Source organism: Homo sapiens, chromosome 12 (genome assembly GCF_000001405.40).
Source record: "Homo sapiens chromosome 12, GRCh38.p14 Primary Assembly".
Lineage (NCBI taxonomy): Eukaryota > Metazoa > Chordata > Mammalia > Primates > Hominidae > Homo > Homo sapiens.
The window spans coordinates 52,919,508-52,947,471 of record NC_000012.12 but is presented as its reverse complement, the minus strand read 5'-3'; the positions used below and the strand labels follow the sequence as shown (position 1 = coordinate 52,947,471).

The 27,964-nt window shown below is 48.7% G+C and overlaps 1 protein-coding gene across 3 annotated transcripts in view, besides 3 other annotated features; it reads left to right on the top strand.

The window, feature by feature from the left end:
* Positions 1-27,964, top strand: part of KRT8 (keratin 8) — a 52,670-nt gene that overhangs the window by 2,389 nt on the left and 22,317 nt on the right. Inside the window, exon 1 of one of the 3 annotated variants that reach the window (NM_001256282.2) lies at positions 21,003-21,060. The exons of the other annotated variants lie outside the window; for them this stretch is intronic. Within the exon in view, the coding sequence (NP_001243211.1) occupies positions 21,023-21,060 (38 nt within the window). The 5' untranslated portion in view covers positions 21,003-21,022. Of the gene's footprint in view, positions 1-21,002; positions 21,061-27,964 lie in introns of those variants that run through there. 3 annotated transcript variants of the gene reach the window in all.
* Positions 93-387: a silencer, noted in NCBI's record as "tiled region #15494; HepG2 Repressive non-DNase unmatched - State 1:Tss". NCBI's record gives its function as "represses a minimal TATA promoter and a strong SV40 promoter by Sharpr-MPRA in HepG2 cells {active_cell/tissue: HepG2}" and the evidence as "EXISTENCE:reporter gene assay evidence [ECO:0000049][PMID:27701403]".
* Positions 1,338-1,933: an enhancer, noted in NCBI's record as "OCT4-NANOG-H3K27ac hESC enhancer chr12:53339323-53339918 (GRCh37/hg19 assembly coordinates)". NCBI's record gives its function as "activates a minimal SCP1, AML or CMV promoter by ChIP-STARR-seq in primed H9 embryonic stem cells {active_cell/tissue: H9 hESC(primed)}" and the evidence as "EXISTENCE:reporter gene assay evidence [ECO:0000049][PMID:30033119]".
* Positions 3,123-3,717: an enhancer, noted in NCBI's record as "H3K27ac-H3K4me1 hESC enhancer chr12:53337539-53338133 (GRCh37/hg19 assembly coordinates)". NCBI's record gives its function as "activates a minimal SCP1, AML or CMV promoter by ChIP-STARR-seq in naive H9 embryonic stem cells {active_cell/tissue: H9 hESC(naive)}" and the evidence as "EXISTENCE:reporter gene assay evidence [ECO:0000049][PMID:30033119]".

Here is a 27,964-nt window from a genome sequence, read left to right as displayed (position 1 = left end):
AAAGTAATGTGTCCTACATCGCATGGGGCCTGAGAGGACAGGCAGGCACTCCTAGGACCATCATAGCAGCGACCCAGCCCTGGTGGCCAGTGCCCCTCCCCTCTTTTCTAGGACTTTTCTCCAAGCCAGTCCTTCCCCTGTCCCCCCTTGTAAGGGCTGTCTGGATTAGAAGCCTGGCCCCAGGGGACTGCATCCTCCAAGATGCTCTCCCCAGCCTCTGTGTGAGAAGGATGGAGGTAGGGAGGCTTTCATGCTGCCTGCCCCCTGAAGCTGAATGACCATCCCTGCTGAATGAAGTGTTGGGGGGAACCCTTAGGTGTTTGGCCTTCAAGTTTGTCAGCTCCAGCAGCTCGTTTTTCTGGCAGGGCCTGGTATGACACATTTGGCTGTGTTCTTTGCTCTGGAGTGGACCTATTGATTCTTATCGAGCTACCAGCTGAGGGGGAAGGGGAGGACAAATAGTAGGGCAGACCTGGGAGAGAAGGGACCCTGGAAAAGCCTGGCCAGTGGACCTGCCAGGTGGGAGGCAGAGCACAGATAAAGAGCCTGAGCCTGGATTGTTCCTGATCTGTCACCTAATGGTGGGGAGAGCCCCACAGTGCTCAATGGGAGCCAGCCAGGGGGCAGTCAGGGTGGAAGCTGGCCAGGGGAGGGTCGGGGCCTGCTGAAGGCTGGGAGGCAAACGGGATGCAAAATAACATACAAATGAATGCCCACTGGTTTTGCATACAAGGCTTCTGGGAGGTAAGAGGTTCCAGTCAGAGGGGTCTCTCCTGCTTTCACCTTTATATTCCCCCACTGGATTCCAGAACTGTCAAGTTGGGCAGTATTTTATAATAAAGTATGTGGAGTCAACAAGCTACGTACTGCCTTTTACTGTTATTGCTAAGCTTTAAGTCAGCCAGCCTGGATACTTTGCTAGCTGTGTAACCTTGGGGAAGTCACCTAACTCTGAACTTCAATTTCTTCACTTGTACAGGGAAAACAGTAAGACCTGTCCAGTCTATTTCCTCAGGTGGCAGTGAATGTGAGTGTAAATTGTCACTCACTCATTCATCAAACAAATACTAATTATTTGTACTGGAGCCTTCCTTCAAAGTAAGGAAGGCTTCAATATATACAGGAGGGCAGATAAAGGGGGTCAATTTAATTCGAAAGACGGGCTCAAGGGGTTTGAAGTCTGTCTCTCTGAGTCATTTAAAAACCCTGGGGCACTTTGAAATCTACCAGCAATCAAAACAGATTCTAGAATTTTTCTCCAAGCTAATTCCCAGGTCCTTGTCTGATTCCTGCCCCACCCCAACTGCTAGGAAACTTCTGGGACCTGTGGAGGTGCAGCGTGGGGGCTGGAGAGGGAGAGCTGCCAGCTAGACTTTATCTCTCCTACTGATGTCGATGGCCACATTCCTGACTTCTTGCAGCATGGGGCAAATACCGACCTCGGGCTTCCAGCACCAGCCTGCCCCTTTCCACCACTTCCAGATTCCTCTGTGGCTCAGGGCTTTTTCACTTTGTCAGAGAGCCTCTTGGAGAGCTGGGGTGAAGGTCTCGGCCTCCAGATTCCCAGCACTAGGGTTCTGGGGTGGGGGTGGGAAGCAAGGTGGAAAGGGGGATGGCGTGATTGTGAGGACAGTCCCGGGAAAGGGTGGAGCAGGAGGGGCCCTGGTGAGAAGCTCCCAGAACAGACACAAAGAGTAATGAGCCTCGGCAGGGGGGAATCCGGAAAGAGGGGAAATGGTTCTCCACCCACCATCAGTCCTGCATTCCAGCGTCCAGCAGAAGGGGAGTGGGAACCTGTGAGGCAGGTTTAACTTCAGAGTAGACTCAGAGATGACCCGATAGGGGTGGGTCAGCTCTTACTGCCCACTCCACATTCTCCCACAAAGGGCTTGAGCTGATGGCTCTGGGGAAACTAGGTGGTGGAGAGATGAGAGGATTAGGGAGGATTGGAAGGCCTGCAGTCCTTCCGCCTTTGCTTTAACATTTAGGCTGGAAATTCCTTGCTCAGCCTGGAGGAGGGAGGTGTTCGGAACAGCAACTGAGGTGTAAGGATGGGGTCTATACACAAAACAGGGAGAGACTGATTCCCATCCTCTTCTTTAAAGACTGAGGGTGACTCCAGTGTGTTGGAGACAGTGAGAAGGCCCTGTGGTGGGGTGGGCTGGAGGGAGGAAGGGATCGCCTGGGAGGCTCCCCTGGGCTCCTTTCAGCTACTCTCAGTGGAGGGTATACCCATGCAGGGGGCCCTCCCACAGGAGAAATCCCAGGGCTGCTGAGTTAAGGGTAGAGCTGTTGAGACAGAGGGAGATCTGGGGTAGAACCCAAAGGAAAAGGAATCTGGGGTGGAATGGGAATCCTCCTGCCCAGCCCTGCATCTGGCACATAGGTGGAGCTCCGTAAATACTTTAGGTTTAAGTAATTAATAAACATGGGGTGCTAGGAGAGGTCAGTGGGGGTCATCAGAAAGTGCAGTCAGGTAGACTGCAGAGAGACAAGAGGTGGGGGCAAGGGTACAAGCTTCAGAGGCAGCTGCGGAGCAGGGGGAGGATGCGGGTGGCAGCTGGGTGCAGGACCCAGTCTGATATCAAGACTTCTGGAATTTCAGCACCCTATTTGGAGTCCCTGGCACTGCCTGTGGAGGTGGGAACGGGTTCTCAGGGCTTGGGCCAGGCCCTCTTCCCCAGGGGTGGGAGAGTCGAGGAATGCCCTGACACTTAGTATCATTGCTTCGGTTGGGTTTGTGCCCTAGGGGTTATTTTCCAAGGATAAAGGAAGAGGAAGGGTCAGCGCTGAGAAGCGTGTGGCTGCCCAGAAACCTCCAGGCGCTGAAGCTCAGAGAAGTCGGGGAACCTGGCCCTTCTAGGAGCCCCTCAGCTCCCTGGCCCAGCCCCACCAGGAATGGCCTTGCCTGTGCTTATGTCCTTTGCCCATTCTGACCCTGGTGCTGTTGGCTTCTCCTCAGGTGCAACCCCAGTATCCCAATGCCATATCCCCCAGCCTATCGCCTCACTCAAATCTGCCCAGAGATTAGGGGAGGGCAAAGGGATGAATAGGGCACTTGGTGTCAAAAGACCTGGATTCGGCCAGGTGGCTCATGCCTGTAATCCCAGCACTTTGAGAGGTTGAGGTGGGAGAATCGCTTATGGCCAGGAATTTGAGACCAGCCTGGGCAGTATAACAAGACCCTGTCTCTATGAAATAATAAAATATTTCAATATTTCACAATATTCCCCACTGCTGGCTTAGTGATCTTGAGCAGCCTTTACTAGCTTGGTCTCTCCTCAGCTGTAGAATGAGAAAAATAGTAATATCCACTTAGAGAGTTTTCATGAGGACCAAATGAGATGACGTGCCTGGAAGAGCTTTGGCAGCTGAGAAGCCAGCTGACCTCCCCTCCTGTCTGCTTTGCCCCATTTGCTCCTTTTCTTCCCAGCCCCCTTGTTCTTTTGCACTTACTACTCTCCAGCCTTCTGCTCCCTGCTCACCACTATTTTTTTCCATCTAACATGGGCTCAGGGCAGGGTGGCTAAGACTGAGTCTTTGAAAAGGGGGGTGAAATGGAAGAACAGAGTGGCCAAGAACCTATCTCCAGATCATCCAGTCAGCCGGCTCTGTCTCTGTCAGCCTCTTTCCTGGCCTAGGCTGGGCAGGTTCTGCCAGCAGTGTTTAGGGAACTATCCTGTGAGCAGCTAGGAGAGCAGGGCTGGAGCTTGGGAGAGGCATGGGGCAGGAGGTATGGATGCCAGGGTCACAGCTAACCTGCGGGGCCTTTACACAAATTGCAGAGAGGGAGCCTCTTCCTTGTTTCCTGGCAGGGTGTGCCTGTACACTGAACACCCTGCACGGCCACGTGCAACGGGCCCACCTGGAGCATCCCCCTCAAGGATTTGGGTGAAACCCAGTTGTGGGTGAGGTGGCCTAAGGGAAAGGATCAGGGAAAAGAAGGAGCAGAGTCAGCACAGAGGGACTTGAGGCAAGAAGAAGAGGAAGAGACAGAGGGAGAAGAGGAGAAAGAGGAGAAGGCCTAGATCTCTAAGTTCCCAGGAAGAGACCAGGAGAGAGGACGTCATGAAAGCCAAGAAGAATGAGGTTCAAGGAAGGGGGGCCCACAGGGCCAGGTGCACAAAAGGATCAGGGAGGCTGAGGACAAAAAGAGCACTTTCAGTAGAGCGATGGAGCCTGGAGCCGGGGTGTGGACTGAGAGGGAGGAGAGAGAGGACCAAGTGGAGGCAAAATGTAGACTTTTCTTTCAAGCAGTTTATCAGCGACGGACAGGAGAAATCGGGAGGCCAAGCGGTTGTTAGGTCGCAGAACTGATGGACGGTTGCCTTAGGATGAGACAGTTTAGTAAAGCTGATCAGTAATTAAACAAGCAATAGCACTAAAGTGTGGTTGGTGCTATGCCTGGGTGAGTCCAGGGAACAATGGAAGCCCAAATCAGTAAACACTAATCCTGCTTGAGATTCTGGGGGAGTGGAGTGACATTTAAGCTGCAACCTGAAAAGTGATATCCTAGTAGGTGGCAGAGCTGGGATGTGTTGTGTGTAACCTCTCTAGGCTCCTTCCTCCCCAATCAGAAGCGTGTGGCAGAGGCAGGAGGACACCGTGGCACATTAGGTGAACTCTGTGTTCTAACCATGAGGCATAAGAAGGTGAGTCAGTGGTCTTGAGATCCCAACAGCAGTTACACAACATGGCTTCATGATGAGACCAGCCACACAAGAAACACTGCGTATCCTGGGGGTGGGAGAGAAAAAATGGTGGGCTTCACTGAGGGATGAGAAGGCAGGAGAGGTGGAAGCTCAGGGACAAAGAAGCCTTAAAACATGGCTGAAAGGGCTGGGCCTTGGGTGGGGAAGCAAAGGCAAACAGAAGAGTTTAGTGGAAAAGGAGGAAGCCCGGGACTGAGGTGGCACGGCAGTTGGAAGCTGCAGAGAAAGCACAGGAGCGTGAGATGGGGAAGGTGAGAGAGAGTATCAGAATCTGGGGTCAGAGCAGCTGGTGATGTCACTTCAGGGTGCTGAAGGCACTGAAAATCATGGGGTTAAGAATCTTTGGGAAAAGAGAGGATGGAGAAACAAGATTTTGGAGTTGGACAGATCTCAGTTTGAATCCCAGCTCTGCTTGTTTCCTTGCTAGGTGACCTTGGTCAAGTTGGGTGCCTAAGTTGGGTGCCCAAGTCGGCGAGCTTCTCTGATCTCCAGCTTCCTTATCGGTTTGTTGCAGAGATTAAGCATGTATGATAGGGCCTGGGGCGGAGCAGGTGCTTGTTAAGTGTGCCTCCTCCTCCTGGAAGAATCATCAACATGGAGCTTTAAGGCTGTCGGTTTAGTTCACTTCCACCAATAGTGACCTGGGAATACAAAGATAAATACAACTAGACAATAATAATCAAGGAGATTATTATTAGAGGGAACAGATCATTGGACAAACAAAATACAGTGTGATTGGTGCTATGACAAGCTCCAGAGGACTGTCAGAGAAAGGAAGAATTCATTAATTCATTAACGCTTTGTAAGGCACCTAATGCCAGCATGGTCTAGGATCTGAGAATACAGCACAGAAAAGCCACAAGGTTGCTGCTTTCATGGAGCTTGCGTTCTACGTGCTGAAGGACTGGGGTCATGGAGAACTTCACGGAGGTCAAATGAATGCTCAGACAGGGCTTCAAAAAGTGAGTAAAAAGCCAGGCACGGTGGCTCACACCTGTAATCCCAGTATTTTGGGAGGCTGAGGCGGGCGGATCACCTGAGGTTGGGAGTTCGAGACCAGCCTGACCAACATGGAGAAACCCTGTCTCTACTAAAAATACAAAATTAGCTGGGCGTGGTGGCACATGCCTGTAATTCCAGCTACTCGGGAGGCTGAGGTAGGAGAATTGCTTGAATCCAGGAGGTGGAGGTTGCGGTGAGCTGAGATCACGCCATTGCACTCCAGCCTGGGTAACAAGAGTGAAACACTGTCTCAAAAAAAAAAAAAAAAAAAAAAAAAAAGAGCAAAAACTTGCTAGAGGAGCCCGGGGGCTAAGGGTAAGATTTCGCAGATAGAACACTTGGCACCGTGGCTTTTTATAGCATCCACCAGAATCCCCTCCTCTGAGACTCAGAACCATATCTCCTGCTGGTGGATATTATCCCTAATTGGAGGTTTCAAGGAAACCTTAAGCTTTTCACATATAAGGCTGAGCCTATGATCTTCCTGCATCTGTGGGTTTTCTTGTTTTAAAACATTTAGATTTATAGACGGGCGTGGTGGCACATGCCTGTAATCCCAGCTACTCGGGAGGCTGAGGCAGGAGATTCGCTTGAACCCAGGAGGCGGAGGTTGTGGTGAGCCAAGATCGCGCCATTGCACTCCAGCCTGGGCAACAAGAGTGAAACTCCATCTCAAAAAAAAAAAAAAAATTAATGTATTGATGCACAATTTGCCTACAGTAGCATTCACCCTTTTTAGGTATACAGTTTGATGGGTTTTGACAAATGGATGCAGCTGTGGAAATGCCACCATAATCAAAATACATAATTTTTATCCCTTCAAAAAGCTCCAGGCTGGGTGTGGTGGCTCACACCTGTAATCCCAGCACTTTGGGAGGGTGAGGCGGGTGGATCACGAGTTCAGAAGTTCAAGACCAACCTGGCCAAGATGGTGAAACCCCATCTCTACTAAAAATACAAAAAAATTAGCGGGGCATGGGGATGGGCGCCTGTAGTCCCAGCTACTCAGGAGGCTGAGGCAAGAGAATTGCTTGAACCTGGGAGGAGGAGGTTGCAGTGAGCTGAGATGGCGCAACTGCACTCCAGCCTGGGCCACAGAGGGAGACTTCGTCTCAAAAAAAAAAAAAAAAAATCCACTGTGTTCTTTTATAGTCAAGTTCATTGCTCACCCCCACACCTCCTCCCCGACACCCCCAGCTATGGTAACCACTGATCTGTTCTCTGTCCTCATAGCTTTTCCCTTTCCATAATGTTGTATAAAATAAACTATAAAGTGTGTAGCTTTTTTGTGTAGCTTTTTACTTTTCTTTTTTTTTTTTTTTTTTGAGACTGAGTCTTGCTCTGTCGCCCAGGCTGGAGTGCAGTGGCATGATCTTGGTTCACTGCAACCTCCACCTCCCAGGTTCAAGCGATTCTCCTGCCTTAGCCTCCCGAGTAGCTGGGACTACAAGCATGAGCTACCACGTCCGGCTAATTTTTTATATTTTTAGTAGAGATGGAGTTTCACCACATTGGCCAGGCTGGTGTCAAACACCTGAGCTTGGTAATCCATCCACCTCGGCCTCCCAAAGTGCTGGGATTACAGGCATGAGCCACCACGCCTGGCCTGGTGTGTAGCTTTTTGTCTCTGGCGTCTTTCACTTAACATGATGCTTCTGTGATTCATCTATGTTATTGCAGGGTATCAGTATTTATCCTTCCTTTTAATGGCAGCATAATATTCCATTGCATAGAGTTACCATAATTTGTTTATCCATTCACCAGTAGATGAATATTTATTTTGTTCTTAGTTTTTTTCTTTACTTTTTCTAACTTTTTTTGGTAGAGATGAGGGTCTCAATATGTTGCCCAGGCTGGTCTTAAATTCCTGGCCTGAGCTCCTGACCCCAAGTGATCCTCCCACCTTGGTCTTCCAAAGTGCTGGGATTACAGGCATGAGGCACAGTGCTCAGCTCCAGTTTTTAGCAATTATGAATAAAGCTGTTTATCTTTGTGTGGATATATGTTTTCTTCCTTTTTTTCTTTTTTTTTTTTGAGAGGGAGTCTCCCCGTCTGTCACTCAGGCTGGAGTTCTATGGCCTGATTTTGGCTCACTGCAACCTCTGCTTCCAGGGTTCAAGTGATTCTCATACTTCAGCCTCCTAAGTAGCTGGAATCGCGGGTATACGCCACCATGCCTGGCTAATTTTTGTATTTTTTAGTAGAGACGGGGTTTTGCCGTGTTGGCCAGGCCGGTCTCAAACTCCTGGGCTCAAGTCATCTGCCTGCCTCAGCCTTAAAGTGCTGGGATTACAGGGGTGATCTCAGCTCACTGCACCTTCCACCTCCCAGGTTCAAGTGATTCTCCTGTCTCAGCCTCCCAAGTAGCTGGGACTAAAGGCGTGTGCCACCACACCAGGCTAATTTTTCTATTTTTACTAGAGACAGTTTCACCATGTTGGCCAGGCTGGTGTCGAACTCCTGACCTCAAGTGATCTGCCCGCCTCAGTCTCCCAAAGTGCTGGGAGTACAGGCGTGAACCACCATGCCTGGCCAAGTTTATTCTTCTAAGAAACTGCCAAAGTAGCTGTACCATTTTGCATGCCCCCAGTAACATGATGCTCTGTATCCTCACCAACACTCTGTACTGTCTGTCCTTTTTTTATTTTTATTTTTTATTTTACTTTTTTTTAAGATACAGGGTCTTGCTCTGTCACCCAGGTTGGAGTATAGTGGTTCTGTCATAGCTTACTATAGCCTGGAACTCCTGTGCCCAAGTGATACTCCTGCCTCATCCTCCTCAGGAGCTAGGACTACAGGCCCATACCACTAAACCTGGCTGGTTTTAAAAATTCATTTGTAGGCCAGGCGCGGTGGCTCACGCCTGTAAGCCCAGCACTTTGGGAGGTCAAGGCGGGAGGATCATGAGGTCAGGAGATCAAGACAATCCTGGTTAACACGGTGAAACCCCGTCTCTACTAAAAACACAAAAAATTAACCGGGACTGGTGGCAGGCACCTGTAGTCCCAGGTCCTCGGGAGGCTGACACAAGAGAACAGCGTGAACCTGGGAGGCAGAGCTTGCAGTGAGCTGAGATCGCACCACTGCACTCCAGCCTCGGCGACAGAGCGAGACTCCGTCTCAAAAAAAAAAAAAATTCTTTTGTAGAGAGGGGAGTCTTCCTTTGTTGCCCAGGCTTGTCTCGAACTATTGGGCTCAGGTGATCCTTCTGCCTCGGCCCCCCAAAATGCTGGGATTACATGCCTGAGCCACTGTGCTTGGCCTGTTATTAAAAAGGAAAAACAAAAGTTAGGCTGGATGTGGAGTCTCACACTAGTAATCACAGCACTTTGGGAGGCCGAGGCAAACGGATCACTTGAGGCCAGGAGTTCAACACCAGTCTGGGCAACACAGCAAAATCCCAGCTCTACTAAAAATACAAAAAATTAGCTGGGCATTGTCCATGCTTGTAATCCCAGCTACTCGGGAGGCCAAGGCACGAGAATCACTTGAACCCAGGAGGCAGAGGTTGCAGTGAGCTAAGGTCATGGCCCTGCACTCCAGCCTGGGCGACAGAGCAAGACCTTATATATAAAAAAAAAAAAAAATATATATATATATATATATATATATATATATATAGCTTTCTAGTGGGTGTGTAATGGTATCTTGTGGTTTTAATGTGTATTTTCCTAATGACTAATGATATTGGGCATCTTTTCATGTGCTTATTTACCATCTGTATCTCTTTATTTTTGGCAACTTTTTTTTTTTTTTTTGAGATGGAGTTTTGTTCTTTTGCCCAGGCTGGAGTGCAATGGCACGATCTCGGCTCACTGCAGCCTCTGCCTCCTGGGCTTAAGCAATTCTCTTGCCTCAGTCTCCCGAGTAGCTGGGACTACAGGTGTGTGCCACCATGCCAGGCTACATTTTTTTGTATTTTTAGTAGAGACAGGGTTTCACCATGTTGGCCAGGCTGGTCTCAAACTCCTGACCTCAGGTGATCCACTTGCCTTGGCCTCCAAAGTGCTGGGATTACAGGCATGAACCACCATGCCCGGCCTGTTTTCTTCTTCTTTTTTTTTTTTTTTGAGACAGAGTTTCACTCCCTCACCCAGGCTGGAGTACAGTGGCGGGATCTTGGTTCACTGCAACATTTGCCTCCCGGATTCAAGTGATTCTTGAGCCTCAGCCTCCAGAGTAGCTGGGATTATAGTCACATGCCACCATGCCTGGCTAATTTTTGTATATTTTGTAGAGACAGGGTTTTGCCATGTTGCCCAGGCTGGTCTCAAACTCCTGAGCTCAAGCAATACTCCCGCCTCAGCCTCCCAAAGTGCTGGGATTACACGCTTGAGCCACTGCACCCTGCCCCATCTGTATCTCTCTCTCTTTTTTTTTTTTTAGAGACCGAGTCTTGTTCTGTTGCCCAGGCTGGATTGTGCAGTGGCACAGTCTCAGCTCACTGCAACCTCTGCCTCCCGAGTTCTAGCAATTCTCCTGCCTCAGCCTCCCAAGTGGCTGGGATTACAGGTGCATGCTGCCACACCAGGCTAGTTTTTTGTATTTCAGTAGAGACAGGGTTTCACGGTGTTGCCCAGGTTGGTCTCAAACTCCTGAGCTCAGGCAGTCCACCCGCCTCAGCCTCCCAAAGTGCTACGATTACAGGTGTGAGCCACCATGCCCGGCCTGTATCTCTTTTTTGATGAAATATCTGTTCAGATCTTTTGCCCATTTAAAAAATTTGGTTGTCTCTTTTTTATTATTGAATGTTGAGAGTTTTGAAAATATGTCTGGATTCAAGTTCTTCTTCATGAAATTTGCAACTATTTTCTCCCAGTCTGTGGCTATCTTTTCATTCTCTTAATGTCTTTTGAAGAGAAGTTCTTAATTGTGACAAAGCCCAGTTTATCAAGTTTTTATTTTATGGATTATGCTTTGATGCTGTATTTAAGAAATCTAGCAGCTGGGCACAGTGCCTCACACCTGTAATCCCAGCACTTTGGGAGGCCAAGACGGGCGGATCACCTGAGGTTGGGAGTTCAAGACCAGCCTGACCAAAATGGAGAAACCCCATCTCTACTAAAAATACAAAAAAATTAGCCGGGCATAGTGGCCCATGCTTGTAATCCCAGCTACCCAGGAGGCTGAGGCAGGAGAATCGCTTGAACCTGGGAGGCAGAGGTTGCAGTGAGTGCAGATTGCGCCATTGCACTCCAGCCTGGGCAACAAGAGTGAAACTCCATCTCAACAACAACAACAACAAAAACAACAGAAGAAATCTAGCTCCGCAACATAGTGAGACCGCTTTTCTACAAAACATAAAATAATAGTCTGGTGTGATGGTGTGCACATGTAGTCTCAGCTTCAAAAGTGCTGGGATTACAGGCATGGGAGGCTGAGGCAGGGGGATTACTTGAGCCCAGAAGATCCAGGCTGCCATGAGCTATGATCACAAGAAATCTTTGCCTATCTCAAGGTCACAAAGATTTTCTGTTTTTATTTAGAATTTTTTTTTTGTTTTTTTTAGATGGAATCTTCCTCTATCTCCCAGGCTGGAGTGCAGTGGCATGATCTCAGCTCACCGCAACCTGTGCCTCCCAGGTTCAAGCCATTCTCCTGCCTCGGCCTCCCGAGTAGCTGGGATTACAGGTGTGTGCCACCATGCCCGGCTAATTTTTGTATTTTGAGTACAGACGGGGTTTCACCATGTTCACCAGGCTGGTCTTGAACTCCTGACCTCGTGATCCACCTGCCTCGGCCTCCCAAAGTGCTGGGATTATAGGCATTAGCCACCTCGCCCAGCCTTATCTAGAATTTTTATGGTTTTCTGTTTCACATTTTGGCCTATGATTCATTTGAGTTAATGTGTTTTGCAAATATTTTTGCCCAATATGTGGCTTATCTTTGTATTTTCTTAACAATGTTGTTAGAAGAGATGAAGTTTTAATTTTGATAAAATTCCATTATGGGCTGGGCACGGTGGTTCACACCGTTAATTCCAGCTGTTGGGAGGCAGAGGCAGGAGGATTGCTTGAGGCCAGGAGTTGAAGGTTATATGGAGCTATGATCACACCACTGTACTCCAGCCTGGGTGACAGAACAAGAATGTGTCTCTAAAAAAAAAAAAAAATTATGAAATTTTTTGTATGGTTTGTATTTTTTGTGTTCTATTTCAGAGATCTTTGCCTAACTCAAGGTCACGAACGGTTTTCCTTTTTCTTTTTCTTTTCCTTTTTTTTTTTTTTTAAGTAGAGACAGGATTTCACTGTGTTAGCCAGGATGGTCTTGATCTCCTGACCTCGTGATACACCCGCCTCGGCCTCCCAGAGTGCTGGGATTACAGGTGTGAGCCACTGTGCCCGGCCTTTTTTTTTTTTTTTTTTTTTTTTTTTTTTTTGAGACAGAGTCTTGCTCTGTCACCCAGGCTGGAGTGCAATGGCACGATCTCGACTCATTGCAACCTATGCCTCCTGGGTTCAAGCGATTCTCCTGCCTCAGTCACCTGAGTAGCTGGGATTACAGGCACCTGCCACCCCCAGCTAATTTTTTGTATTTTTAGTAGAGACAGGGTTTTGCCGTGTTGGCCAGGCTGGTCTCGAACTCCTAACCTCAGGTGATCAATCTGCCTTGGCCTCCCAAAGTGCTGGGATTACGGGCATGAGCCACCACGCCAGGCCTATTTTTTTTTTTTCTTTTGAGATGAAGTTTTGCTCTTGTTTCCCATGCTGGAGTATTTGTATTTTGAGTAGAGATGGGGTCTTCCAGACTCTATTATGTTCCATAGATGTATCTATCCTTTTTTTTTTGAGACGGAGTTTCACTCTTGTTGCCCAGGCTAGGGTGCAATGGTGCGACCTCGGCTCACTGCAACCTCTGCCTCCCGGGTTCAAGCGATTCTCCTGCCTCAGCCTCCCAAGTACCTGGGATTACAGGCATACGCCACCATGCCCAGCTAATTTTTGTATTTTTAGTAGAGATGGGTTTTCTCCATGTTGATCAGGCTGGTCTCGAACTCCTGACCTCAGGTGATCTGCCTACCTTGGCTTCCCAAAGTGCTGGGATTACAGGCGTGAGCCACCGCACCTGGCCTGTATCTATCTTTATGCTGATACTTCACTGTCTTGATTACTGCAGCTTTATGGCAAGTCTTGAAACCAGATAATGGGAGTTCTCCAACTTTATTCTTTTCATTTTTCTTTTGGTTTATTATTATTTTTGAGACAGAATCTGGCTCTGTCACCAGATTGGAGTGCAATGGCTTGATCTCAGCTCACTCCAACCTCTGCCTACTGGGTTCAAGCGATTTTCCTGCCTCAACCTTCCGAGTAGCTGGGACTACAGGTGTGTGCCACCATCCTGGCTATTTTTTGTATTTTTTAGTAGAGACAGGGTTTCACCATGTTGGCCAGACTGGTTCTGAACTCAGACCTCAAGTGATCCGCCCACCTCATCCTCCCAAAGTGCTGGGATTAGAGGCGTAAACCACTGTGCCCGGCTTCTTCTCCTTCTCCTTCTCCTTCCTTTTCTTTTATTTTTTTTCCTTTTCTGAGATGAAGTTTCACTCTGTCACCCAGGCTGGAGTGCAGTGGCACAATCTCGACTCACTGCAACCTCCGCCTCCTGGGTTCAAGCAATTCTCCTGCCTCAGCCTCCCGAGCAGCTGGGACTACAGGCACATGCCACCATGCCCGGCTAATTTTTGTATTTTGAGTTAGAGACCGGGTTTCACCATGTTGGCCAGGCTGGTCTTGAACTCCTGACCTTGTGATCCACCCGCCTCGGCCTCCCAAAGTGCTGGGATTACAGGCGTGAGCCACCGTTCCCGGCTATTCTTTTTAAAAATTGTTTTGAGCCTGGGCGAGGTGGCTCACGCCTAAAATCCTAGCACTTTGGGAGGCTGAGATGGGTAGATCACCTGAGGTCATGAGTTTGAGACCAGCCTGGCCAACATGGTGAAACCCCGTCTCTACTAAAAATACAAAAATCAGCCAGGCATGGTCGTGGGCACCTGTAATCCCAGCTACTCAGGAGGTTGAGGCAAGAGAATTGCTTGAACCCGGGAGGCGGAGTTTGCAGTGAGCCGAGACTGTCCCATTGCGCTTCAGCCTGGGCAAAAAGAGCATAACTCCGTCTCAAAAAAATAAAAAAATAAAAAATAAAAAAAATTGTTTTGGTTATTCTAGGCCCTTTGCTTTTTTGTCTACATTATTAGAATCGGTTTGTTAGTTTCTATATAAAAACTTAGAGATTTTTATTGGGATGGCATTAAACTTGCAGATCAATTCCAAGTGAGTTAGCATCTTAACAACATTGAGTCTTCCAATCCATGAACTTAATATATCTCTCCATTCATATACATCTTTAATTTCTCTCATTAATGTTTTATACTTTTCAGCATACAAATCTTGCACATATTTTGTTAGTTTGATTGGAAGATATTTTATGTTTTAAATCTGATTGTAAATAATACTGCTTTTTCAGTTTGAATTTCCAATTTCTCATTGCCAGTATATAGAAACGTAATTTTGTGAGGCCGGCATGGTGGCTTACACCTGTAATCCCAGCACTCTGGGAGGCTGAGGTGGGCAGATTGCCTGAGGTCAGGAGTTCAAGACCAGCCTGGCCAACATGGTGAAACCCCGTCTCTACTGAAAATACAAAAAAATTAGCTGGGCGTGGTGGTGAGTGCCTGTAATCCCAGCTACTTGGGAGGCTGAGGCAGGAGAATCCCTTGAACCTGGGAGGCAGAGGTTGCGGTGAGCTGAGATCGCGCCACTGCACTCCAGCCTGGGTGACAGGGCAAGACTTCATCTCTAAAATAAAAACAAAAACAAAAAACACACAAAAAATGTAATTTTGTGTATTGATCACTTATCATTTATCCTGCAATCTTGCTAAATTCTCTTATTAGTTCTAGTAGCTTTTTTGTAGGTAGGTTCTTCAGGATTTTTTTGTTTTTGTTTTTTTTTTATTATAGACACAGCCTCATTCTGCTGCCCAGACTGGAGTGCATTGGTGATCATAGCTCACTGAAGCCTTGAACTCCTGGGCACAAGTGATCCTCCTGCCTTAGCCTCCCAAGTAGCTGGGAGTACAGGTGTGCATACTGCCCATGGCTGGGATTTTCTAAATAGATAATCATTTTATCTGTGAATAAAGATAGTTTTATTGCTTCTTTTCCCATCTGTATGCCTTTTATTTCTTCTTCCTGACTTATTGCACTGGCTAGCACGTTCAGTACAATGTTGAATAAAAGTGATGAGAACATACCTACAGGGAAGAGGTCAGAAAGAAAAAAACAAACACAAAGAAGTGGGGAGAGCAAATGTTTTTGCTTTGTTCCTGATCTTGTGGACAAAGTAATCATTCTTTCACTATTAAGAATGATTTGCCAGGCGCGGTGGCTCACACCTGTAATCCCAGCACTTTGGCAGGCAGAGGTGGGTGGATCACGAGGTCAGGAGTTCAAGACCAGCCTAGCCAAGATGGTGAAACCCTGTCTCTACTAAAAATACAAAAATTAGCCAGGTGTGGTTGCAGGCGCTTGTAATCCCAGCTACACAGGAGGCTGAGGCAGGCACTTGAACCCAGAGGGTGGAGGTTGCAGTGAGCTGAGATCGTGCCACTGCACTCCAGCCTGGGTGACAGAGTGAGACTCCATCTCAAAAAAAAAAAAAAAAAAAGAATGATTTACCAGGTGCCTATAATCCCAACAATTTGGGAAGCAGAGGCGGGCAGATTACTTGAGTCCAGGAGTTCAAGAGCAGCCTGGGCAACATGGCAAATCTCTGTCTCTACAAAACATAAACATATGGCCAAGCGCAGTGGCGCATGCCTGTAATCCCAGCACTTTGGGAGGCCAAGGCAGATGGATCACTTGAGGTCAGGAGTTTGAGACCAGCCTGGCCAACATGGTGAAACCCCATCTTTACTAAAATTACAAAAATTAGCCAGACATGGTGGCGGGCACCTGTAATCCCAGCTACTCAGGAGGCTGAGGCAGGAGAATTGCTTGAAACTGGAAGGCGGGGTTTACAGTGAGCCAAGATCACATCACTGCAATCCAGCCTGGGCAACAAGAGCGAAACTCCGTCTCAAATATATATATATATATATATGGGGAGCCAATGAGTAGTGGAGAAAGGAAGAGGTGGGAGATAAAGTGGGAAAGGTTAGTGAAGACCAGGTCAAGAAGAGCCTTGTTAGACCTTGAAGAGTTTGCACTGCCTTAGTTTTCAACTTTGTTTTGTACCAGCTATGATTGGGAACATGTCATGAATGCAGGTGCCCAATATCATCCCAGACCTGCAGAATAATACTCTCTGGGATTGGGGCTGGATCTCTACAACAAGTTCCCTAGGAAATTACCAAAAACCAAGGGAAACTATTTTAGAATCTGGGGAGACACTGGCCGGGCATGGTGGCTCACGCCTATAATCCCAGTACTTTGGGAGGCCGAGGCGGGAGGATCACGAGGTCAGGAGATTGAGACCATCCTGGCTAACACAGTGAAACCCTGTCTCTACTAAAAATGCAAAAAATTAGCCAGGCTTGATGGCGGGTGCCTGTAGTCCCAGCTACTCGGGAGACTGAGGCAGGAGAATGGCATGAACCCGGGAGGCGGAGCTTGCAGTGAGCCGAGATCATGCCACTGCACTGCAGCCTGGGCAACAGAGCGACACTCTGTCTCAAAAAAAAAAAAAAGAATCTGGGGGAGACACTGAAGCTAAAAGTGGGGAAGCATCATGATCAAAACTGCAGTTTGACAAGAACATGCTAGCCAGATGTCTTGGAAAGATTTGAAAAGACAAGAGTGGAGATTACTGCAATCATCTAGATAAGTAGTAATAATGACTCAAACTAAGAGAGAATCAGTGGAAATATACGGAAGAAAGTAGATTCAAAGGAAATTTAGGGGCTGGGTACAGAGGTTCATGCCTGTAATGCCAGCACTTTGGGAGGCCAAGGTGGGAGGATTGCTTGAGCCCAGGAGCTCAAGACCAGCCTGGCAACAGAGCAAGACCCTGTCTCTACAAAAAATAAAAATATTAGCCAGGTGTGGTGGTGCATGCCTGTAGTCTCAGCTACTCAGGAGGCTGAGGTGGGAGGATCACTTGAACCCAGGAGGTCTAGGGCACAATGAGCTGTGATTGTGCCACTGCACTTCAGCCTGGGTGACGGAGTAAGACTTTGTCTCAAAAAAAGGAAAAAAAGAACAACAACAAAAAAAGGAAAGTTTGGAAGACAGAATTGGGGGCCGGGCGTGGTGGCTCATGCCTGTAATGCCAGCACTTTGGGAGGCTGAGGCGGGTGGATCGCCTGAGGTCGAGAGTTCGAGACCAGCCTGACCAACATGGAGAAACCCCATCTCTACTAAAAATACAAAATTAGGTGTGATGGCACATGCCTATAATCCCAGCTTCCCAGCTACTCAGGAGGGTGAGGCAGCAGAATCGCTTGAACCTGGGAGGCAGAGGTTGCAGTGAGCCTAGATTGTGCTATTGCACTCCAGCCTGGGCAACAAGAACGAAGCTCTGTCTCAAGAAAAAAAAAAAAAATGATAGAATTGGCAGGACTTGGCTTCTAATTGGATGTAAAGGGAAAGAAGCAGCAATAATAGTAACAATAATAACACTGAACATCTATGATGTATCAGGCACCATTCTATGTGCTTTACATGTATCACATTATTTAACATAGCAATCCTGTGAGAGGTTCTAGTGCCATCCTCAGCACTTTTGCTGACTCCAGGCTTCTTGCTTTGGAGGCAGTGATGTCCACCAGAGAGGAATTATGAGAGGAAGTGAGGCCTGGAGGATGGCATTGGATAATGACTTGAGTTTGGAAGCTGTGAGTTTGAGGCTTAGGTGGGACATCCAGGCAGCAATTAGAAACTTGGGTCTGTAGCTCCGAGGAGAGTCTGGAGATGTTGATCTGGGATTCATCATCCCTGAGAGTGGATGGGAATTGGCCTGAAGAGGTGGAGGCAGGGAGGTGGGAATCCTAACACTCAAGAGCAAGGCTCTTAATCTGGCCTCTGTGGGTGGCTTTCACAAATGCATGTGCCCCTTCAGCTGCATGGGAGATGCTAGCAATCTCTGATTGTGCATTAGAGTCTCAAAGGGGAGCATGAACCACCAAGAAGATTAATGATTACAGGTGTAAGTGGTGAATAGATAAAAAGGATTCAAGGAAGAAGACTGGAAAGGAGTGGCCAGAGAGATAGCAAGAAATGCAGAAGGCAATGTCAGGAAGCCAAAGGAATTGTCTTTTAAGAAAGGCGGTTGGACGAGGTGGCTCACGCCTATAATCCCAGCACTTTGGGAGGCTGAGGTGGGCAGATCACCTGAGGTCAGGAGTTCAAGACCAGCCTGGCCAACATGGTGAAACCCTGTCTCTACTAAAAATACAAAAAAATCAGCTGGGCGTGGTGGTGGGCACCTGTAATCCCAGCTACTCAGGAGGTTGAGGCAAGAGAATGGCTTCAGCCTGGGAGGTGGAGATTGCAGTGAGCTGAGATCGAGATCATACCGCTGCACTCTAGCCTGGGCGAATGAGTGAGAATCTGGAAAAAAAAAAAAAAAAAAGAAAGGAAGGAAGGAAGGAGGAGTGGTCAGTGGTATCCACTATTCCAGGGATGCAGGGAAGAAAAGATTTGAAAAGAGTCCATCAAATTTGGCTAGGAGTTGATCATTAGTTTAGCCATTTCCATGGATGGTGGCTAGGGTTGGGGATGTAGGAGGAGGTGAAAAATTGACAACGAGTATGGTCTCCCCTCTTGGGAAGCTTGGCTGTAGAGGCAAGGAGAGAGGGCTGTAGTGGGTGTGGGACATGGGTCAAGGATGATTCCCTTTCTATTTTTGTTTTTTGAGTTGGAGTTTCACTCTTGTTGCCCAGGCTGGAGTGCAATGGCACGATCTTGTCTCACTGCAACCTCCACCTCCCGGGGTCAAGCGATTCTCTCGCTTCAGCCTCCTAAGTAGCTAGGATTACAGGCACCTGCCACCACGCCCAGCTAATTTTTTGTATTTTTAGTAGAGATGGGGTTTCACTATGTTAGCCAGGCTGGTCTCGAACTCCTGACGTCAGGTGATCCACACACCTCGGACTCCCAAAGTGCTGGGATTACAGGCGTGAGCCACTGTGCCCAGCCCCTTTCTTTCTTTTTTTAAAGGAAGAAGTGACATGAGCATGACTACAAGTAGAGGGGAATAAAATTCAGCCTGGGATGGGGGTGGGAGGAGTATGGCAAGGGAGAGATACTATTTGATGAGACAAGGTTCTGTGTGTGAAGGGAGGGGTGTGTGGATCAGAGCACTGGTGGAGGTCTGGCCCTGGGCAGAGGAAGTGCCATCTCCACCTCCAAGGGGAGGTAAGGGTGGGAATGGACATGCATAATGGTAGGGGCATTGTTAAGGATGGTGGTGGTGCACTGGGGGCTCCTTGGGACACCAAGATTCTTGTGACTAGCAGAAGAGAAGGAGTGATGGTGTCATCTGTGACTCCAGCCACATTGCTTTGGGCTCTCAGAGGAGACACACTCTTCTGCTCTGAAGCCTTTGCTGTCTTTTCCTTAGCCTGAGACATCCTCCTTCAGGAAGCCTTCCCAGACTGACACCTCCAATCTACTCACTTCCCAGCAGCAGACTCAGTTCTCCATGCCTTCTTTTCCCCAGCACAAAGGCCAAGAGCGCTCCCTGTTTTTGTTTTTGTTTTTGAGACAGAGTCTTGCTTTTGTTGCCCAGCCTGGAGTGCAATGGTGCAATCTTGGCTCACTGCAACCTGCGCCTCCCGCCTCTCAAGCGATTCTCCTTGATTACAGGTGCCTGCCACCAAGCCTGGCTAATTTTTGTATTTTTAGTAGAGACAGGGTTTCACCATGTTGGCCAGGCTGATTTCGAACTCCTGACCTCAGGTGATACACCTGTTTTGGCCTCCCAAAGTGCTGGGATTACGGGAGTGAGCCATCGCGCCTGGCTGAGCACTCCCTGTTCTAGAGGCTGTCTGTCTCTGGTTGCAGTTGAGAAGACACATGGAGGGACTGGGAGAGGACAAGAACATGTGTGTCTGTAAAGCAGGTGGCTTCCCCCTCAGGACTGCCCATCCCCAGATTTCAGGCTCGGCTCTGCCCACAAGGGGGTGCTCAGTCAGAGAAGGCCTGGCTGGCATGGTGTGGACAGTGGCCCAGTTGGCAGGCAGGCAGCAGGGCCCTCGCGACTCCACCCCTGGCCAGGACCTTTGCTCCCAGCCCTGATGGCTCTGGCCTTGTTGCCATGGCCACCCCTTAGTTTGGGACAAACAGAGCTCTTCCTCCTCCTGTTCAGCCTCCTAACACCCAAGTGTCTCCCTAGGGACAGGCAGGAATTCCAAGTGTCCAGGCTCCCCACCCTTTCCCCAGGGGAGGCCCAAGGGTGGTGAGTCACTGAATCTGGGCCCCTCTTCACCCTCTCACTGTTCTCTGGCTTGTCCTGCTGCTCCCTTGGGCCCACCTATTTCCTGCTGGAGTTGGGGAGGGGTGGAGAGAAGGACTGGAACTCTCCTGGGTCTATCAAACTGAGTGGTGGTGAAGGTGAAGGGGTCTTCCTGTCCTGAATCTCCTCCCTGGGGTGTGTCCAGGCTGTGGACACCCTTCTGAGGCTTAGCTCCCATCTCTGGTATCCATGAAACAATCACAGCTTCTTTCCTCCCTTGGGGGGAATCCTTGGGGTCCAGGGTAAGGGACAGAAGATAGGAAAAAAGCAATGTGGGAGAGAGGAGATAGGGTCAGAGTAGAGAAGAGGACTCATGGGATAGAATTGAATCATTCATTCATTCATTCATTCATTCATTCATTCATTCAGTGAATCAAACAAGTTCCTGTGCTGGGTGTGGAGGGAAGCAGAAACATGTATAAGACACGCCCCTACTTTTGAGGAAGATGCCTTGGCGCTGATGTGCGGGCCCTGGACTTAGGGTACAGGACTCCGGTTTGAGCTCTGACTACTACTTGCTGGGCACATTACTTCTTAGAGCCTTGGATTCCTCATCTGTAAATAAGGATAAGAAGACTGAACTCCCAAGGTCCTTGTGAGGGTCAAATGAGACAAATATGGAAAATGCCTCATTAATAGTGGATGTTCAGTGCATGCTAAATGACTGTGGATCAGGTTTACAATCAGGGAGGGGAGCTCAGACATGCCCACAGCAAGTGTAACCCAGCCCAGGGGTGTAACAAAGCCCTATTCTTGGGGTCTCTATAGGAGTGGCCACTTCCGGCAGAGGTGACTGGGGCAGGCTTTGTGGGGAGGTGCCTGATGCATGATTTTCATTCAGCAAATGTTTGCGGAATGAATGGGGTGAGCTGGAGCCAGGACCTGCAGGAAGGGTAAGGTTTCAACAGGTGCAGGTGACAAGGAGGTGCTTCAGGAGAGGAGGGCACAGTCCTGGGGGTGGGGTGGGGAGGGCAGCTAGTGCCAGGTGGGGAAGGCTAAGCCTCAGCCACCAGATGAGGAATTTGACCTTTATTCTGAAGGCAACGGGAAGCTCTGGGCTAGGGAGTGACAGGATCAAAGCAGTGTTTGTAGAAGATCAGTCTGGCTGGGCACTGGAGAGGATACCTGAGCGAGCAGGAGAGGTGGTGGGGGGCGGGGGGCAGGGACACACCAGGCAGAGGGACAGTGTGTACATGTCTAGAAGTCTCAGGACAGGCAATTATGTCACCCCCTTCCACTCTGCAGAGGGGGCCTCTCGCACCAGCCTGTCTCCAGGGCAGGTCTCACCAGCCTGCTAGGAGGGAGCTTGAAAGGGAGGTGGGGAATTTCTCAGGGACACAGAGAACATGAGAACACTGCCTCCTTTCTCCTCCTTCCTCCCCTACCTGGGGCCCAGCTCAGAGTAATGGGCCCTGAGGGGGAGAGAAACGCAGCCCTGGAACTGGAACCTGGGTCCCTTTGTTGGTAGGCTCCACCTCCTGTCCTCTAAGATAGAGGGCTGGAAGAGACAAAGAAACTATTAGGCCCCATTAAGAACTGTGCATAAACCCTAGAACTCAGGAACAGAGGGATAATTGAGGTGATAGTATTGCCCAGCCCTGGAGCCCAACTTTCCTTGAAGGGGAAATTTCTGGCCTGGGGCTGGCTGGTAGGAATCTAAAGCCTTAGCCTTTGTGGAGATGAATCATCCTAATCTATCTCTTTGACCCCACCTCCGCCAAAGAGATCCCTTTTGCTCCAATCTCATTCCTGAATGTGCCACACTTCAGGTATCAATGGGGCAAGGCCAGGATGACGGAGGGGGATACCTGCAGGGGAAGAGGTGTTGAGCAGGTTTCTGAAAATGGTGACCATTTCAGACCCTAAATGGCGCCATTCATACCTAAGTGCTGAGTGGTCTCACAGTTTTAGGTATGCTTCGGGGCCCACAGTCTCTCCCAGCCTCCAGCCCTGACTCAGCCTGAGCCCCTGGGAGCCAGAGATAGCTATCCCAGCTATTCAGAGGAAGGAGATAAGGTTTATGGCTCTGGACAGGCTCACCCTGGGGAGACTGTGCATACACACCTCCTCCAGCTGCATTCCTCCCGGTCCTGACCTTGTCTTACTCAGTCTTTTCCTGGAATTACTACAGGAAATAGTGAGCTGTCTGAACGCACCATTTTCAGAAAACTGCCTAGCACCTCCTCCCCTGAAGGTATCCCCTCAATCATCCCGGCCTTGCCCCATTGAGGTCTATACAACATCTTTTTCTTGGCTTCTGGGCAGGCCTGATCCCATCTAGGACCAGTGAGAAGGGGGCCCAGCCCTGTTCCTTTTCCACAGACGCATCCTCCCCATTCCTGGTCACTCATTTCTGCTCCAATGACTCCTTGAATTAGTAAGTCCTTCCTTCAGTCTACCCTTTCACTCCCTTTCGGTGCTTAGTTAAGGAGAGGATGCTCCTCTGTGCGTTGGCTGTTGCCGCAGACCACAGAGTACAGCTGAGGGTCCACTTCACTCCAGGAGCCCTTTAGCTGAGGGGAGGAAGGCAAAAGACAGAAGGAACGGTGAATTCTTAGAGAAGAGTGCATGGTCTTTTCCCATCACAGTAGTGTCCTATACAGTAGTGTCCTATACAAGCAATTATCTTTACAAATTACAATTATCTTTACAATTATCTTTACAAACATTATCATCATATAATTTATTTTATTTTTAAATTTTTATTTATTTTTTTGAGACAGGGTCTGGCTCTGTCGCCCAAGCTGGAATGCAGTGGCCTGTCATAGTTCACTGCAGCCTCAATCTAATTTATTTTACATATGAGAGAACAAAAGCTGAGAGCCCAAATCAAGTATGATTTTTTTTTTTTTTTTTGAGACGGAGTCTCCCTCTGTCGCCCAGGCTGGAGTGCAGTGGCGCAATCTCAGCTCACTGCAAGCTCCGCCTCCCGGGTTCATGCCATTCTCCTGCCTCAGCCTCCCTAGTAGCTGGGACTACAGACGCCCGCCACCATGCCCGCCTAATTTTTTTGTATTTTTAGTAGAGACAGGGTTTCACCGTGTTAGCCAGGATGGTCTCGATTTCCTGACCTTGTGATCTGTCTGCCTCAGCCTCCCAAAGTGCCGGGATTACAGGCATGAGCCACTGCGCCTGGCCTAATGTATGATTTTAAGTATAATGCTTTTGGCCGGGTGTGGTGGGTGGCTCACAACTCGGCTCATGCTGAGGCAGGCGGATCACCTGAGGTCAGGAGTTTGAGGCCAGCCTGGCCAACATGGTAAAACCCCGTCTCTACTGAAAAAATACGAAAATTAGCCAGGCGTGGTGGCGGGCGCCTGTAATCCCAGCTACTCGGGAGGCTGAGGCAGGAGAATCGCTTGAACCCGGGAGGCGGAGGTTGCAGCGAGCAGTGATCATGCCACTGCACTCCAGCCTGGGCGAGAGCGAGGCTCCGTCTCGAAAAAAAAAATATATAATGCTTTTCTCACTACACTGCAAGCACTTTAGGCAATTCAAAGCTCTAAAATCCATATTAATTTAAATGTAATAATACAGGTAATTTTAATAATTTCAAAAATTAATAATTAGTAATAAAAATAATTTAGAGCCGGGCGTGGTGGCTCACGCCTGTAATCCCAGTATTTTGGGAGGCCGAGGCGGGCGGATCACGAGGTCAGGAGATTGAGACCATCCTGGCTAACAAGGTGAAATCCCGTCTCTACTAAAAATACAAAAATTAGCCAGGCGTGGTGGCTGGCGCCTGTAGTCCCAGCTACTCGGGAGGCTGAGGCAGGAGAATGGCGTGAACCCAGGAGGCAGAGCTTGCAGTGAGCTGAGATTAAGCCACTGTACTCCAACCTGGGCAACACAGCGAGACTCCATCTCAAAAACAAAACAAAACAAAACAAAACAATTTAGGAATAAATGGTCCTGCCCCTTCATTATATAGATGAGGCAACTGTAGCTCAGAGAGGAGCAGTAACTTGTCCAATGTCACACAGCAATTTAGAGACCGAGTTGAGACTAGAACACAGGCTATTTGATTTCCAAACTTATGTTTTCCTGCTACTGCACATTCTTCTAGGAATAGTCTAAAACAATTCTCAAAACAAAAATTTAACTTAATTTCATTTAATTTTCATCATAAACCTTAGAACGCTTTGATTTTAATCACACATCCTAGAGCACTTTGGAGGTAGTGGTAGGAATTTGCAGAAGTGCAATGATGTGAGGGAGGGTCAGTTCACAGGACGAGTGGGAGGGCAGAGAGCTGGGAGCCTGGCTACGGAACCCTCACTCAGCTGTCCTGGGCTTCCTGAGCTTCCCCAGATCAGCGGGGAAGCTCCTGGAGGTCTTCTGGAAGGCACCTTCCTTTATCAGAGGTGTTGGCCGATCAGTTCAAGCTCTCATGCTGGCTGCAGAATCTGCCTTCCTGCCTCCTGCATCTCCCAGACTGTCTGCCTAGATCCAGGGGACTGGGAAGCTAAACTTTGGGTTTTGGAGCCAGAAGAGCTGGGTGGAATTCTGATCCTAGCACTTAGATGCTACATGACTTAGGAAGTAGATGGAAAGTTTCTGAACTTTCATCTCCTCATCTGTAAAATGAGGTTATTTGTACTTTCCTTATAGGTTTGTTTATTTATTTATTTTGAGACAGAGTCTTGCTCTGTCGCCAAGGCTGGAGTGCAGTGACACAAATTCAGCTCACTGCAAAGTCTGCCTCCTGGGTTCAAGCGATTCTCCTGCCTCAGCCTCCCGAGTAGCTGGAATTACAGGCATGTGCCACCACGCCTGGCTAATTTTTGTATTTTCAGTAGAGACGGGGTTTCGCCATGTTGGCCAGGCTGGCCTTGAACTTCTGAGCTCAAGTAATCCACCCACCTCAGCCTCCTAAAGTGTTAGGATTACAGGCGTGAGCCACCGTGCCTGGCCTCCTCATAGATTTAATTGTGAGGAATAAATGCAGTTATAAAAACCTATGGTACAGGGAGTGCCTGCCATATGGTACTGTCTTCAGGGAGAGAGGGAGGTATAAGGTGGGGAGGAGAGACATGGCTTTGGAGGCAGACGGGGTCCAGTTCTGGCTCTCCCATTTGCTACATTTTTTTTTTTTTTTTTTTTTTTTTTTTTTTTTTTTTAGAGACAGGGTCTCACTCTGTCACCCAGTGCCATTGTTACTCACAGGTGCAATTATGGTACACTACAGCCTCAAACTCTTGGGCTCCAGTTATCCTCTTGCTTAGCCTCCCAAGTAGCTGGAAATACAGGTGTGCACCACTCTGCCTGGATAATTAGAACAATTTTTTTGTGGGGGAGAGGGGTATAGACAGGGTCTTGCTGTGTTGTCCAGGCTGGTCTTGAATTCCTAGCCTCAAGCCATCCTCCCACTTTGGCCTTCCAAAGTGCTGGGATTACAGGTGTGAGCCACTGTGCCAAGCAGTGCACATTGCTTTTAATCCTGAGGCTCAGTGTTCTCCACTCTAGAATGCAGATAATGCTTATTTTATAGTTTCTGTAAGAATTAAAAGCTTTACCACCTTAAGGAAACTGCTAGGCCATGGGGGAATAGCTGAACCCATGCCCAGCTCTGGGAGATCCGGCCACAGCTGGGGATGCACAATCAGAGGCTCCAGGCTGGAGGGCTGGAGGGAGAAGCCTGGGAGGAATAGTCCATCTGGGAGGGCTTCCTGAAGGAAGTCCTTGGGGGTAGAGCCAGGCTAGAGGGACACAAAGAGAGAGGAAGGAGGGGCCCTGGGCCTGTGCACTGCATAAGTGAAGAGGGAGTTTGTGCAGGAGCTGGCAGTCAAGTAGGATAGGGTCAGGCCATGGGGGCCTGGGGGTGGAGGTTTAGTGTGGTGACATGTGGGAGCCATCGAAGCCATAGAACTGTGGGTCCAGGAGGAGGACTAGGGAGTTTGACTTTTGCAGCTGGACAATTGTGAGCAAGAAGTACTGGTCCTCTCCCTCAGAGAGGCTTTCCCTCCTTTGCCTTCCATGTTCTGGAGGCTGCTGTTGCTACTTAAGCTTCTCTTAATGTTCCCTGGATGGTCACCCAGGAAACTTGGGGAGGCAAGGAAGGAGAGAGAAGGTAGAATGTGGCCTTGGGGAATAGATGGCCTCTGCCTGGAGTTCTGTAGGGAATGCATAAACACACAATTAGTTGTGTTGCCATGGGAACTTGACTAACAGGTCCCTGAGGCTAAGCTGGCCTGGGCTGGCCTGGGCTTAGCCCATTCCCACCATCCAGGTCAACAGATTTTCCTAAAGGCCTATGAATGGGTCATTGTATCTGAGTTGGGGTTATCTTAGTCCTTAGAGACCAGGGAATGGGGTGGGGGCAGGTTGGTTACAGAGTGGTGGGTAGCAGGTCTTTTCTTTAGCTGAGCTGCGTGCTCTCTAGAGTCTCTCTGTCTCATTTTCTGTCTTACAGACATATATGCACACATGCAGGGTCTTGCTATGTCGCTGGTTGTCCAGGCTGGTCTTGAACTCCTGGCCTCAAGTGATCTTCCCTTGGCCTTCCAAAGTACTGGGATTACAGGTGTGAGCCACTGTGCCTGGCTGGGCACAGGCTTACCTGGCAGGCTGGTTCAGCCATTTGTGAATTCGTTCATCATATACTGGTGGAGTGCCTGTTAGATGTCTTTCTAATGCTGTGGATGTGACGGTCAACAACATAGTCAAGGTCTCTGCCCTCATGGGGCTGTCCATTTTTAATTTTTTTTCAGATGGAGTTTCGCTCTTGTTGCCCAGGCTGGAGTGCAATGGCACAATCTCAGCTCACCCCAACCTCTGCCCCCTGGGTTCAATCAATTCGCCTGCCTCAGCCTCTTAAGTAGCTGGGATTACAGGCATGTGCCACCATGCCTGGCTAATTTTGTATTTTTAGTAGAGATGGGGTTTCTCCATGTTGGTCAGGCTGGTCTCAAACTCTTGACCTCAGGTGATCTGCCTGCCTTGGCCTCCCAAAGTGCTGGGATTACAGGCGTGAGCCACCGTGCCTGGGCTGGGGCTGTCCATTTTGATGGGGAGAGGTCCCCCAAGTCTGCCAGAATCCCTACTGTAGGAGAGGTAGTACAGATGCTCAATAAATAAATGTAATATAGCTCTTTTGGATTGCTAAATAAAATAATAAACATGTTTTGAATCCTCCCTTTTGAGTTATTGACATTATTACATCTCTTAATGGACATAATTGGATCCTGACTATAAAACAGCATAATTGAAAAGAGAATGTTCAAGCTCTAAAATTACTCCAGACTTGGGTTCAATTCCTGTCTCTGTCACACTAACCAAAGGACCTTGGGCTTTAGTTTCCTTGTCTGTAAAATGAGAACAATGTTACCTTCCTCATGGATTAGTTTAGGATTATAAATAATAGGTGCGGTGGCTCACGCCTGTAATCCCAGCACCTTGGGAGGCCAAGGCAGGCAGATCCCCTGAGGTCAGGAGTTCAAGACTAGCCTGGCCTACATGGTGAAACCCTGTCTCACTAAAAATACTAAAATTATCCGGGCATGGTGGTGCAGGTCTTTAGTCCCAGCTACTTGGGAGGCTGAGGCAGGAGAATAGCTTGAGAACCCAGGAGGTGGAGGTTGCAGTGAGTCAAGATCGTGCCACTGCACTCCAGCCTGGGCAACAGAGCAAGACTCCATCTCAAAATAAAATAGACTAAAATAAAATAAAATAATATATAATATATGTAAGAGATCTGACACTTTGACACTTGGTAGGAACCCTGAAAATGAAAGCCATGGCTGGGCATGGTGGCTCACACCTGTAATCCCAGCACTTTGGGAGGCTGAGGCGAGCAGA